Source organism: Homo sapiens, chromosome 5 (genome assembly GCF_000001405.40).
Source record: "Homo sapiens chromosome 5, GRCh38.p14 Primary Assembly".
NCBI lineage: Eukaryota > Metazoa > Chordata > Mammalia > Primates > Hominidae > Homo > Homo sapiens.
In genome coordinates this window covers 39,134,126-39,148,790 of record NC_000005.10, presented here as the reverse complement: position 1 = coordinate 39,148,790, position 14,665 = coordinate 39,134,126, and the positions used below count along the sequence as shown (strand labels likewise).

Sequence of the window (14,665 nt, the reverse complement as noted above, 5' to 3'; positions counted from 1 at the left end):
GTTCAACAGTTCTTACCCTGAAGTCATTCATAGTTAGTTTAAAGGGTTTTTTGGTTTCTGTTTATGTGTGTGTTTTATTTTTTGTCTGTAAAATTGGAGGAAAAGTAAGAATTTACCATTATAACCTTTTCATTAATTAGAGATGCTTAAAATGTTCTGAAACTTGAGACTTGCCGTATCAGTAGCCAGCTGCCAGATAGTCTTCTCTCACACTAGTTGGAAAGTGTTGGCTTAAACAAGTCAGTTTTCAAATTCCTCGTGGGTTAAATATAGGAAGACATGTTCCAGAGAAAAGGCCGCAAGATTTTACTCCCAGTAAGGCAGGTATAGAACAAAGTTTAATGTGTCATGTAGATTTCTTCCTCCTTCTTTAAAAAAAAAAAAAAAAAAAAAAAAAAAAAAAAAAAAACCTGCTGATAATTAAAAGCTAAATGCATGAATAGCCAATAAAGTAAAAGGCCAGCTGGGCATGGTGGCTCATGCCTATAATCCCAGCACTTTGGGAGGCCGAGGTGAGCCAATCACATGAATCCAGGAATTCAAGACCAGCTTGAGCAATATGATGAAACCCTGCGTCTACAAATATATATATATATATATATATATATATATATATATATATATATATATATATAAAAAATACATATAATATACATATAATGATAAGGGTGGAGAAAGGGAAGAATTGCAGGAGCCGGGCATTAGAGCAGCGGGGAGCAATGGCTTCCCTAAGGTTTACAATTCTCCCTAGGGTGTAGAGTGGAATCTCTAATTGGGATCAAGGAAGGAATTTTAGAAGACAGGGTGGACTTGCCGGGCGCGGTGGCTCACGCCTGTAATCCCAGCACCTTGGGAGGCCGAGGAGAGCAGATCACAAGGTCAGGAGATTGAGACCATCCTGACTAACACGGTGAAACCCCGTCTCTACTAAAAATACAAAAAATTAGCCGGGCGTGGTGGCGGGCGCCTGCAGTCCCAGCTACTCGGGAGGCTGAGGCAGGAGAATGGCGTGAACCTGGGAGGCGGAGCTTGCAGTGAGCCTGGGCGACAGAGCAAGACTCCGTCTCAAAAAAAGAAAAAAAAAAAAAAAAAAGACAAGGTGGACTTTATCATCTGCAGTCTGTTCTGCCTACTCCTAAAGCTGTTCCCAGAAGTAACTTGCAATCATATCATTCAAGTCTGGATGTCTTAATAGCATAAAAGATTCGAGACAGGTGAGAATCAGCAATCCTAAATAACTTTGAAAATAAAGTAGTTGAGGCCAAAGTTATATTGTATTTTAAATTTAAATACACACACACAGACACACACACACACACACACACACACACACACACAGGCATATGTACAAAAGTTTAGCTGGGCATGGTAACACGTGCCTGTCGTCTCAGCTACTTGGGAGGCTGTGGTAGGAGGATCCCCGAGCCTGAGAGGTCCAGCCTGCAGTGAGCCATGATCTCTCCACTACACTCCAGCCTGGGGGACAGAGTAAGATCCTGTCTCCAAAAAAAAAAGAAAAGAAAAGTATAGAGGTCAACAGTTTTACATCTTTATACATCAGGAAATAAAGCACTAATAAGCTTTCTAAAAATGACAGTCATTAACTTTACTTTTCCTATTTAATTCTACATGCTATAGCATAAAAACAAAGATCTATAGTGAGAGGCCTTATTGAATAGACCTATTATCATAACTGATAAGCTTCTTTTTCTTCTCATTCACCCCCTCCTTCTGCTCAGTTTCTTATGACTTGGGCTGTGACTGGTTCCATTGTTTTTCTCTTACTCTCTGTATGGGGCTTTTCTCAATGCTTGGAACCCTTAGCGAATTTGCTGACAGTTTGATCTGGATTTACTCATGGCACCTGCACCTATTTATTTTCCTCATTTCTTTTCCTTTTATTCTTCACCATCATTGCTATTATAGTCACTATTTCATATTTATTGAATATTAATAATATACATATTATAAATTCAGGCCTATATAAAGTGGCACTAAGATTCATATGCTATAATTTTGGGTCCATAAATAAAACAAATGTGTGCAGGCAAACATTGTCTACAAGTAATAAATGCTTTGCATAAATGTGCAGACACACGTGTATGAATGTGCTATGCAAATACCCTTCCTTTTAGAAGTATTTGTTATTCATACAGGTGTTTTAGGAAGTAAATTGCTTAAATCTGGTGGTCTTTTTGATTTAACATCCTTTTCACCAATGATAATTTGCTTTAGTAATAAAAGTTAGTCTCTTGTTGTTACTGGAATATTGTTAATTCATCAAAAAAATCAAAAGCCTATCATGACAGGAATTATTCTAATAACTCTCTAAAAGGATAATCATAATAATAAATTAACTAGCAAAGTGACAATCCCTTTCCTTAAGGTGTTTATGGCCTGGTAGTGAAAAGAGAAACCTGAAGCAATTACCCCATAATTACGAAGGAATACAGAATAATCACTATAATGGATGAATGGATGGATGATGCAGAGAAGCAATGCAATGATTAGGCTTAAGGAAATCAGGGACAACTTCACAAAGGAAGGACTGTTTAAGGAGAGGCTTAAAGAATGGAGGCCAGGTGCAGTGTCTCACGCCTGTAATCCTAGCACTTTGGGAGGCTGAGGCAGGTGAATCACCTGAGGTTAGGAGTTCAAGACCAGCCTAGCCAACATGGTGAAACCCTGTCTCTATTAAAAATACAAAAATTAGCCGGGCATGGTGGCAGGCATCTGTAGAATCCCAGCTACCTGGGAGGCTGAGGCAGGAGAATCCCTTGAACCCGGGAGACAGAAGTTGCAGCGAGCCACGTTTGCACCACTGCACTCCAGCCTGGGCAACAGAGTGAGACTCTGTCTTAAAAAAAAGAAAAAAAAAGAAAAAAAAAAAGAATGGGAGGACCACAAGCAGGGGATGCTGAGAAGGGAGGATTATTCCAAAGAAGGGAAGCGTGGGCTGAGCATGAAGGAACAAGAAACCAGAGAGAGTTCAGACAGCATGTGAGTTTACTGTTAATATGTGAGAAGATAATGTAAGAAAAGGAAATATGAGAAATAAAGCTTTACAGGGCAAGATTGATCATAAGAACCTTGTATGCCATAAAAAGAGCTATGGATTTTACTCTGTACAATGTCAGTGTATTTTAATGTCTTAGGTATTTTCATCTTTTTAATTAATATTCAATTCATCAAAATTAGTAATGCAAAGGCCTATTTTCCTTTAAGTACTTAAATTTATATTATGTGACTTGTTATTTTATTTATACATCTAGTAATTTGTATTTAAATTAGAATTATTTTCAGGGGATCTTTGATTAATGATTGGACAACTCACATGGCTCAAACTAAATTCTTTCAAATCAATAGTTCTGTTTATAAATGTGGTTAATGAAACTTCTTGCGATGTTTCATATTGCGTGTATATATTAACATATTTAATTTCATTTTTAAACATTCCAAATATCTGAATGAACACACTTAATCACCCCACTAAGCAAAATCCTCTCAAGAATTTAAATGACTCTCATAAATCTATTAAATTGAACCATATCCAGTTCCCTTAAATATCCAATAGCATTTGCAATTAGATTTTTCTTATGCTTTTTAAGAAGTATATTTATTGTAAAAAATGTTAAGCATATAAAAGGCAGGAAGAATAGTATAACGAGCCTCCACGTTCCTTTCACCAACTTCGACAACTATAAACTCATGGCCAATCTTGTCTTATCTATACCCTCACCCACTTGCCTCTTATATTATTTTGAAACTAATACAAAACATCATATAATTTCATCTATAAATATTTCAGTAGTTATTCCTAAAAAAATAGATTCTGTGCATTAATATAAAATACCAAGTCAGTGTTCAAATTTCCAATTATCTCTTACAACATATATGTGTTTTAAGTTGTTTGAATAAGAATCCAAAGTATACACATCTACGTTGGCATATATGTTTTGTATTTTGTTGTTGTTTTTTGGTTTTTTTTTGAGACACAGTTTCGCTCTGTTATCCAGTCTAGAGTGCAGTGGCACGATCTTGGCTCACTGCAATCTCCACCTCCCGGGTTCAATAGATTCTCGTGCCTCAGCCTCCCAGGTAGCTGGGATTACAGACGCCCGCCACCACACTCGGCTAATTTTTGTATTTTTAGTAGAGACGGGGTTTCACCATGTTGACCAGGCTGGTCTCGAACTCCTGACCTCAGATGATCCACCCACCTCAGACTCCCAAAGTGCTGGGATTACAGGCATGAGCCACTGCGCCCAGCCTGTTATTCTCTTTTAAGATATAAGTTCACTCTCCATGTCTTTTTTTAATTCTTTGCAATTTATTTGTTGAGGATATCAAGTTGTTTGTGGATACTATAGTTCCCCATCATCTAGATTTTGCTGATTGCTCTCTATAATATAGCTATATGTCCCTGTCTCCTCTGTATTTCCTATACATTGAGAGTGAGAGGTAGAGGTGGCTGGATCAAATGTAGTTCTTTTATTTTTTGGTGTATTCTTTTATCGGGAACTAATAATGTTCACTTGACTCTCCTTTTTTGATGTGAGCAGCCATTGACACTCAATACCCAGACTCCTTAATGTTTCAGCTAAAATTTAGAAAGTCTACACCACAAATTTTAAATTGATGTGACAAGTCTAACTGAATATTTTCTAATGTAACAAATCTCTTAAATATTACAGATACTTAAAAAATTGACTGTACATACATTATCCCAATGGTTATAAAACTTACTCCACAAATTGTTTTTACTATGAGTTTGGCTTATTCCATCATGTCTGTATTTAATTCTGAATGTTCCAAGGATGAAAAAGACTCACTAAAGAAAACAAGTGTCTTGTCATGACAAATTTAATGAGTTAATTAACAGGGCCTTTACACTTACCCAAATAGAAAGCTAAGCATATATAAGTTAAATTTTTAATTTTCTATTTTTTTAAAGTGAGTTTATTAGATTAACAGTTAGTCCCTACCTATATTTACCATCTCAAGTAGAGACTGAGACAGATATCCATGACAGTTCTTCCTGAGTTACAAATGTATCCACTGAGCCCATTTTATGGTTTTAGTGATAAAAAGTCACTTCCAGCCCACATTCTTCAAATGTGGTGAAACACACATTTTACAACCAGCATCTCTTGTTCAAGTAATATTCTTTCCTAACTCTTTAAGGAGTTTGACTATGGGACATGAGAGTGATATAATCATATTTTTGTGTTAGAAAGATGGCAAAAGTTGGAGAAGGGACTATCAGGATAGGGAAGAGAAGGAGTAATTCTGATTACCAGGACACTGACCAGATGACTACTGCAACAGTCCACTCCAGAGATAATATAATCCTATTTTTGTGTCTAGCGGGAGAGACGAGAAATGGAAGAGGGAAGTAAATTAGTATGGGGAACTGGTGTAATTTGATGATTGATTTGACATGGAACTGAAGATGAGTGACAAACAAAGGATGAGTTGCTGCTTGATAGATATGTGAATTGTGGTGCCATCCACCAAGAAAAGAAACCTAGTAGGGAGAGCAGGTTTAGGCTGGGCTAAAAGGAGGGAACCTCAGTTTCTGAGATGATAATACAGAACTGGCTGTAGGACACCCAAGATGTATATATTTGAATCGGAATCTCAGAAGAGAAGGCTGGGCTAGAGATTTCAACATGGAATTTGCCAACATTAAGATCATATATAAAGCTATGGAGGTACATAAAACCATTTAGGAAAAACTGCAAAGTGAAAAAAGAAGAAGAGAACCAAGACCAGAACACAACAGAACATCATCATTTAAGAGAAGGCAAAAGAAAATAAACCACAAAGAAAATTGTGAGGTAGTAGCCAGAGAGACAAGAAGCGAGCCAGGAGCTATTTCTCATGGAAACAAACAAAGGAGACTCAAAGAGGGCAAAATGGCCAATACTGTCCAGGGCCACAAAGCAATCAAGTGAGATGCAGTTTGAGAGGGTCCAGTGGATTTGGTAGCTAGTATTTTTAAGAATACTCTCAGGGAAGAAGTGGCAATAGGGGAAAGATTGCAGTCGGGAAAGAAATGCGTGAGAGAAGAGGAAGTAGAGTCAGTGAATAAAGACAATTTTTTCTTAGCTTGGCTGGATAAAGGAAGAATATCTTGTGGTAATGTGAAGAATTCACAGAGGTAAAGTGAAGTGTTTGTTTCTTATGAATGGCAGTAACTTGGGCTGAGGGAGAAAACAAAGAATGAGAGATTTAAGGGCAAAGAGTGAAGTAAGGAGAATATAAGTAATAAAGCAACACATGGAAGAAAGGGGGTAATCAATGGATTCTCAGAAAATTACTGAGAATTCAGATCAAATTCAGAATACAGGTGCAGAGAGTAGAGAGAAGGTAAGGATGAGTATAACTGCAGATGAGTTTGTGGGTTAAGAAAATGTATTTTCTTAAGAGAGCTCACACCTAATGACTGCTGCTTCATCAGTGAAAGAAGAAACAAGGTCATCTGATTATAGGGGAGTGGAGAGGAATCACACATTGAAGAAAGTGGTAAACATTTTTAATAGGTATGGAGAAGGACAACGCAAGAGAAGGCTGACTACACAAAAAAGAGTGATGGGATTGTAGAAAAGCAGGGGGGATACAGCTGAGATTTAATACCAATTGTTTGTAATGTCCAGAGTCAGTAAAATTGACGGCCATTTTCTCCAGCTATGTTAATTAACTGAGAATAGGAATAGAAAATATAAATGGTCATATACATAATTAGGGATTTGTAAGGCCCAGGTATTGATAATGCTATTAAGGGCAGTTGGAGTGAAGCCATTGGAATGAAGCACCTTGGAGTTCAGGGTGATAAAAGTGAAGCCAAGACAAAAGCATCTGGAGAAAAGGAAGGAGTCAGGGATTGGAACTATGTAAGTTTTTTTTTTTTTTTTCTGAGACAGAATCTTACTCTATTGCACAGGCTGGAGTGCAGTGGTGCGATCTTAGCTCACTGCAACCTCCACATCCCAGGCTTAAGCAATTCTCCTACCTCAGCCTCCTGAGTAGCTGGGGTTACAGACGTGCACTACCATGCCAGGCTAATTTTTTGTATTAGGTCGGTGCAAAAGTAATTGTGACTTTTATCATTGGTTTTATGTCAAAAACCATAATTACTTTTGCACCAACCTAATGTTTTTAGGAGAGACGGTGTTTTGCCCTGTTGCCCAGGCTGGTCTGGAACTCCTGACTTCAAGTGATCCATCTGCCTCAGCTTCCCAAAGTGCTGGGATTACAGGTGTGAGCCATGGTGCCCAGCCCTAGAACTAATTCTCTTTTGTGTGTGTACCATAGAACCAATTAAATGCCCTCATAATCCCAGAATTGAAGTGTTGATTTACTACTAATATAATGGGAAACATATTACCCTCCAGAAGCAACGGATTAATTGTATGAGTCTACTATGAATAGATGGTGCTATACTCCAGTTTCCCAATTCTCCATTTTCTGCCACAGGAGCAGCAGAAGTATAAGGCTAAAGCCTATGCTAGTGATGTCTGAAGCTTTAAATCAGAGCAAAGGTTCAAGAAAAAAGAACAATTCATGAAATAATCCTTTTCCCTTTTTCATTGTAAGGTGAGCATCTACTTGTTCCATGTTCACTGTTTCTTCTTTCTCGTTTTCAGAAGCCCTGTCAATGAAGACAATCAAGATGGTGTCACGCACTCTGATGGTAAACGACAAAAACATATTTTATTTATTTATTTGTAAACTCAGGTACAGAAGTTTGAGCTATTCATTCTTATAGGCTCATTAATGGGTCATTATCATCACTGGTCTGTGCAAGGCCCCTCTCGTTTTATTTGTTTATTCCCTCTTATCCTCATGACTCACTTCCTTTCTCCTCCTTCCTTACTACAGACAAATATTCTAACATATTTAATGTGTATGTGTGTTTGCACAAATTCTTCACATATTGTGACATGTATGCATGTATTTAGTTCACAGAAAGAGTATGTTATAGGTTTCTCTCGTCTTTTTGTACAATCAGCATAATGTGGTTTTGGGGCCCATTCATATCACCATGTGTGTGTTTAGCCTGTTACTGTTAACGACTGCACTGTACTCCATGGTATGCATCCACATTTCACTTGCCTCAAACTCACTGGTACCACAAACAACAATGCAATACACCTTCTTGTATTCATCCCCATGCGGACCTCTCAGAGACTTATCCTTAAGATATATACCCTGAAGTGGAATGGTTGCTAAGAGCTGTGGAATACTTAGGTTGACCGAGTATGACAGGCATGCTCTCCAGAAGAGATGCATCTATCTACACTCTCATCAATCGGTCCTGTTATTCAGCTTTCCATTTTTTTCTTATGTGAATCAAATTATATCTCCTTTTAATTTCTATATCTCTGCTTACTCTTGAGTTTGAGCACTTTATTTGCTTATAAGCCTTTGTGGTTTCTTCTTCTGTAAGTTGCCAGTTTCTACCTTTTGACCATTTTTTGTATTGGGAGTGGTATATTTTTCTAGTTAACTTGTAGGGGTTCCTTTATATTTCAGACATTAATGTCATGTCAACTTCAAACATTGCAAATATCTTCTCCCATTCGGTCAGTTGTCTATTAACTTAGCCCATGCTGTCCTTCATTGAATGTAAATAAATTTTGATATAATCGAATGTATTAATTTTGCCTTGTAATTCATGCTATTTAAGAAGTCTTTTTTCCTAGAAAATAAAAATGTTCTCATTTTTTCCTGTAGACTTTATCACATAAATATATTTAGGTCTTTGATCTCTTTGCAGTCCCCTTTGAGGAGTTAGTAGAAATCCAGAATTGCCTCATGTATGGAGCCAGTTTTCTCCTTACTGTACTCTAAACAATCCATCCTTTTCTCATTAATTTATAGTGCTACCTTTATATTATATCAGCTCTATGTGTGTGTATGTGTATATTATGGGTGTGTTTATGTACATTTGTGTATGTCACTGAATTTTCTGCTCTATTCCATTGGTCTATTTGCCTGTTCTTATACCAACACCACACTGTTTTTATTATTAATATTATTATATTATTGCTCTTAATATTGGATTCTGTTTCAATATTCAGTAATTAGTTTTGATATTACACTGAACTCTTATTAAATTTTTTTAATCCAATTAACTTGATTTGTTTGATACATAAAAACAAATCCTTGGGAACTAATAAGTAAAAAGGTGTGAAACAGTGATTTTTTAATACCTTTTTCCATGCAAGCCCAGAAAACCAAATGGACATCCCTTTTCATAAAGGTAATAAACAGTGTATTAATTATTTTTCGCCCTTTGCATTATTTTATGAAAGCCAATGAAATGATTTTATAATTAAGTCACCAGCACAAATAAAAGCCATAGTAAAGATCTAAAGTACGTATTTGATTTTCTATTTCTGTATCTTTGATAAAGCATAAGTTCTGTTAGATTATGAACTATTTTGAATATTATTATATCATATCCAATAATCTTACATTAAAGTGCTTCCTTATTACAAATGTATTAAATTTTATTTTTTTAATCTTTTAGGTGCTGGAAATCTAGATGAGGTCAGATTTTTTTCTCTTCTCATATTATATTGACATAATCAGAATATTTCACAAGTATTATGATTCACTCCGTATTGGTACAAAACAAACAAATGAAAATCCTTATGAGCAATGATATTTTTCCATTTCTAATCTTATTTCATCTAAAATGCTTAAGATGTTACACACTAGTCATCACACTGACTCATTATAATGCTGTAGTGCTGAACAAACTTAAGTCTGACTACACGTCTGATTTATATAGCAAGATAGAAAAGGAAATTTTGTTTTTGCTTTCCCAGTCTATTTCTAAGGAGAAAAAAAATATTTTAAATAAGCCAAACTTACATACAATAGTTGTTTTACTGAGTATTTGAATTATTCTTTCAAAAATAATTCACAGTATGGCTCCTTTAAGTAGTTATTCCTCTGGACCATTTAATATGTGGTTCAAATTATAAAAATTTACATTGTTGCCTTCATTTTAAGTCTAAGCAATGTAATATGTGTGTCAACTTTTTAAATAATAAAAATTAATCATTATCAATGTTTTTCTTTACAGGAACAAGACAGTGAAGGAGAAACATATGAAGACATGTATGAATTACATTTTTTACCATGACAGTTTTCTTCAAAGATGAATATAATGTTTTGTATGAGGGAGAGTGGGTATATAACAACACTAGGAGGGAAGCTTGATTTGTTCAAATGACTGGCGTATAATAACTTTTATTTCAATTTAAAGGACCCAAAATTATTTAGTTCTCTAAGAATTCTACAAAGGACTCTGTTAAAAAGCTATTGTGTGAGAGGCCAGAGACATGCCTCTGAGATAAACCACAGTCAGGGAATCAGAGACAGAAATCTGATTTCTTACTCTTAGTGTATCCTTGGGCAGATGAGTTAATTTATGTTACGCCTTCTTCACCTGAACAGAGCTCCACCCACGGGGTGCTATGAAAAATAATTTATCATGACGCCCAGAGGTCAGAGTGTCAGCTGCTAAAGTGGAAAGATGTTAAACAAAGAAGTTTCTTGGAAACGAAATTTCTTGGAAAGTGGGTGAAAGTAGAAATGAATATATTATCTTACTTTATCATATGTTGATCTCAGATACCTTAATTTTCTCTACCCAGTGTTTATTCAACCAATTCTGACTCAAGTTTCAGAGCCAAGGTTTATATGTGTACCTGTGAATGCACAGGCACGTGTGCATATGAAAGAGAGAAAAAGAGATGGATTCTATTTATGCGAACATACAGCAAGAATGGGGCCTCTATAAACGGTGGCTTCCACTTGCTGGCACAAGTTGTCAGGGAAAGCAGAGCCTTTGGAAGGTATCCTCAGCAGTGTGCCTCCTACTGGTTTTAAAAATAATCTCACACATTCCGGATTTTGACAACCTTTCGCTTTTTACCTTCAACTGTACTTCAGATACCACCTTTTCTGTTGTGAGTAGAAACTTCTAGGTAGGGAGTTCCGACGCATCAACACCTGCAGATGTGAAAACAACCTAACAATTTTTACTCACAGAGAAGCATCCAAAGAAAGAGAGAAGAAAAGGGAAAAGGAAGAAAAGAAGAGGTTAGAGCTGGAGAAAAAGGAACAGAAAGAGAAAGAAAAGAAAGAACAAGAAATAAAGAAGAAATTTAAAGTAAGGGCTTGCTTGCTAATGAGTGAAAGAATAACATCTTTTTATACCTTTCACACAAAAGGGGTACCATTCTTGAAAACTTACATAGTTGAAGAATTACTTATTCATTATTCTCTAAAGAGTAATTATCTTCATAACAGTACTTTTTTGTCCAATACACCATTTTATCCCTGAACTAATATAATAAAATTTAAATAAATATATTGGTTCATAATTAGTGGACACCCAGGAAATTTTATGTTGATTGAGTGAATGAATATTTACCTTTTCAAACCCATCTTGTCTCTCCCCATAATGCATTTCATATTAGCCTACTTATACTATGAATTAGCATCACACACATAAATATCCCTGTGGTATGTATTATAGGGGGGCATTGGACACAAGTGCCTCCAGGGTGAACCAGACCTGTCTCAGAATAAGATTTCCATGATCTACTCTAATTGCTAGTATCTATACATGAGTTATATTGTTGCCTTTAAGTCTGTGTACATGCTGACTTCTGATAACTGCTGTTTCTCATCCCTCTTTGTCTGTCTGGATTCTGACCTCTGTATTCTCTGATCTCTGGTAATTGTGTGTTTTCTACCATTACTACCACCAGTAAACGCTACACTCAGGGGCTATTTTCTCCTGGCTACACCATCTTTGATGACATGGCTCATCTGGCATGGGTCTGGCATGTCAGACATATTTAGGGTGATTATCTGAATTACAAAATTATTCTTTCAAAAAGAATTCACTGTATGGTTTCTTTAAGTATTTTTATTCCTCTGGAGCATTTAATATGTGGTTCAAATTTCTTTAAAAATGATTTATATATAACTTCCCGGTATATTTATTGCATTAAAGCAAAGGTTCAATGCATGGTGCAAGGAAAATGTATAGCATCAAGTCAGCCAGACAAACTGATTCAAATTCCAGTTGCACATACAAGTTATGTGATCTTGGGCTTCTCACTTAACTTCTCTGAGCCGCTGATTCTTAATCTTTTAAGTAAGGATAAATGATACTACTCCAGAAAGTTTGTTATGGAACTAAAATAATGCAGAGCATACACTGTATCATAAGATTCTCATTTGATTTTGAAAAAGCTTGCTATATGTAAGTAAAATTATGATTACCGTATTAATATTAGAACATTTTACTTATACAGAATGCATGACTACCAATCTTTATATTTTTCAAGTGAAAAATTAATTTCAATTAATTTATGAAAATCTATATCGTAGGCCAGGCGTGGTGGCTCAGGCCTGTAATCCCAGCACTTTGGGAGGCCGAGGTGGGTGGATCATGAGTTCAGGAGATTGAGACCATACTGGCTAACACAGTGAAACTCAGTATCTACTAAAAATACAAAAAACTGGCCAGGCGTGGTGGCGGGCACCTGTAGTCCCAGCTACTTGGGAGGCTGAGGCAGGAGAATGGCATGAACCTGGGAGGCAGAGCTTGCAGTGAGCTGAGATCGGGCCTCGGCACTCTAGCCTGGGCAACAGAGCGAGACTCCATCTCAAAAAAAAATAACAAAAATCTATATAGTATACTTTCCATGAAGAAATTGTAGATTTAAAGGAATTATGTGGGGTTTTTCCATGTTTCTTCTGGAGAATTCAGCTTTACATTATCTCATTCATTCAAATAATATTTTTAGTAAGAAAAGATAGGATATGGAAATCATACCATTAAATATGAACTCAAAAGTCTGTCAAAACTAGGACTTCACCAGCCATATTCCTTTCACAAGATGATAATAGATAATAGGTAAAAAAAATTAAATAAATATGAGAACTGAGCCTCATCAGCATCATGGCATATCATAACTTAACTTACATTATTTTCTTTATTTCTTAGTGGTACATGATAATGATAAATGTTTATAATTAATGCCATCATAAATTCAATAAATTAAAGGTAGAGCTTCTTCAAAAGTCGTCATGCATATTTGCATATCAAAAGATTCAAGAAATTCTGTTGAAAAGACACCAATTTAGGATTAGAAAATTAAGAGTTTAGGATTCATAGTCTAACCAACATCATTATCCTTCTATCAATAAGCCACCATACTGTTCAGAATATTAATTTGAAAAACCTCGTGTAACATTTGCTTGCTATTATTTGATTTACAAGCTTATTTCTGAAATGTTATCTTGTTTATAGCAGGTAATGTCTGCTCCAATTTTACAAACAATGCAAAGGGGAAAAAACTCCATCTTCTGAACAGAATCCTGGCATATTCCATAAAGATACATAGCACACAGCATGGATTGTTGTACATAAACGCTGTTCAGTTATTGGGGGCTGCCTTTGCAGGCCTCTTGCAGAATTCCTAGTCAACAGATCCCTGCCTCACTCTCCTGACCCCATGCACATGTTCACCTGTCTTAGCTGGTCCTGCTTGGCCCCTGTGATTTTTCCCTAACCCCTCCTATAAGAAAAACATTCACCCTCAATTTCTGGTTAAACCCTGTAAATGTTGGTTATAGGTAGCTTAGCAAGTTGTAGACTTATATCTTTCAAAATTGCATTCCTTAAAGATTTTCTAAATTATAAGGAAATCTTTTGTGACTATTTTTTTCTCTTTGCAGCTAACAGGCCCTATTCAAGTCATCCATCTTGCAAAAGCTTGTTGTGATGTCAAAGGAGGAAAGAATGAACTGAGCTTCAAGCAAGGAGAGCAAATTGAAATCATCCGCATCACAGACAACCCAGAAGGAAAATGGTTGGGCAGAACAGCAAGGGGTTCATGTGAGTGCAAATTTCTCTATGGCTTCGAAGTATTTTCTTTGCGAGGCAATATTCAATGTACATATTCCTCCAGAACTCGTCATAGGCATCGAGTTAGGAGTACTTTACAGAGTGGACAAAGGGAGGAAAATGTTAAATGGCAGGTATAGTTCCGTCTTCACCTCATCTGTTATCTATATTGTGGGAAACAACGTACAGTTTTATATTATTCCAGGAGGAACGAACAGCATTAGGTTTTTCATTGATGTTAAAAAGAAAAAATGCTTCATGTGAATCACTTTAGAATATTTAAAATAGAAGGTAGGCTTACATTAAACTACAACAGGATTAGACTTTGACAGAGTACAGTAAAATTTGGGTCTACTTGGGAGGTCTACAAATCAGAACTACAAGAAAATAAATCAGGGGAAAGTTTAAAGAGCAAATGTGCAATTGATATTTTATTCACAACTTTAAAATATTTAAACTACAGTTGCCTGAACATAAATATTTCCCTTTTTGGTAGATGGCTATATTAAAACAACTGCTGTAGAGATTGACTATGATTCTTTGAAACTGAAAAAAGACTCTCTTGGTGCCCCTTCAAGACCTATTGAAGATGACCAAGAAGTATATGATGATGTTGCAGAGCAGGATGATATTAGCAGGTATGTGCAAGTACGTATTGTAGAACAGATCAAACTGTCTCCTTGTCAGAAATTTTGTATATTAAGATCCTAGAATTTTACC

At 36.1% G+C, this 14,665-nt stretch overlaps 1 protein-coding gene across 16 annotated transcripts in view; it reads left to right on the top strand.

Annotated features, from left to right (window-relative positions):
- Window positions 1–14,665, top strand: part of FYB1 (FYN binding protein 1) — a 169,277-nt gene that overhangs the window by 125,738 nt on the left and 28,874 nt on the right. For 15 of the 16 annotated variants that reach the window (XM_006714464.4, XM_047417073.1, XM_047417072.1 and 12 more), the window contains 6 exons: window positions 7,650–7,696; window positions 9,539–9,558; window positions 10,100–10,134; window positions 11,071–11,191; window positions 13,777–13,936; window positions 14,442–14,583. In XM_006714464.4, the coding sequence (XP_006714527.1) occupies window positions 7,650–7,696; window positions 9,539–9,558; window positions 10,100–10,134; window positions 11,071–11,191; window positions 13,777–13,936; window positions 14,442–14,583 (525 nt within the window). Of the gene's footprint in view, window positions 1–7,649; window positions 7,697–9,538; window positions 9,559–10,099; window positions 10,135–10,673; window positions 11,192–13,776; window positions 13,937–14,441; window positions 14,584–14,665 lie in introns of those variants that run through there. The other variant, XM_011514013.4, reaches the window with a different exon arrangement.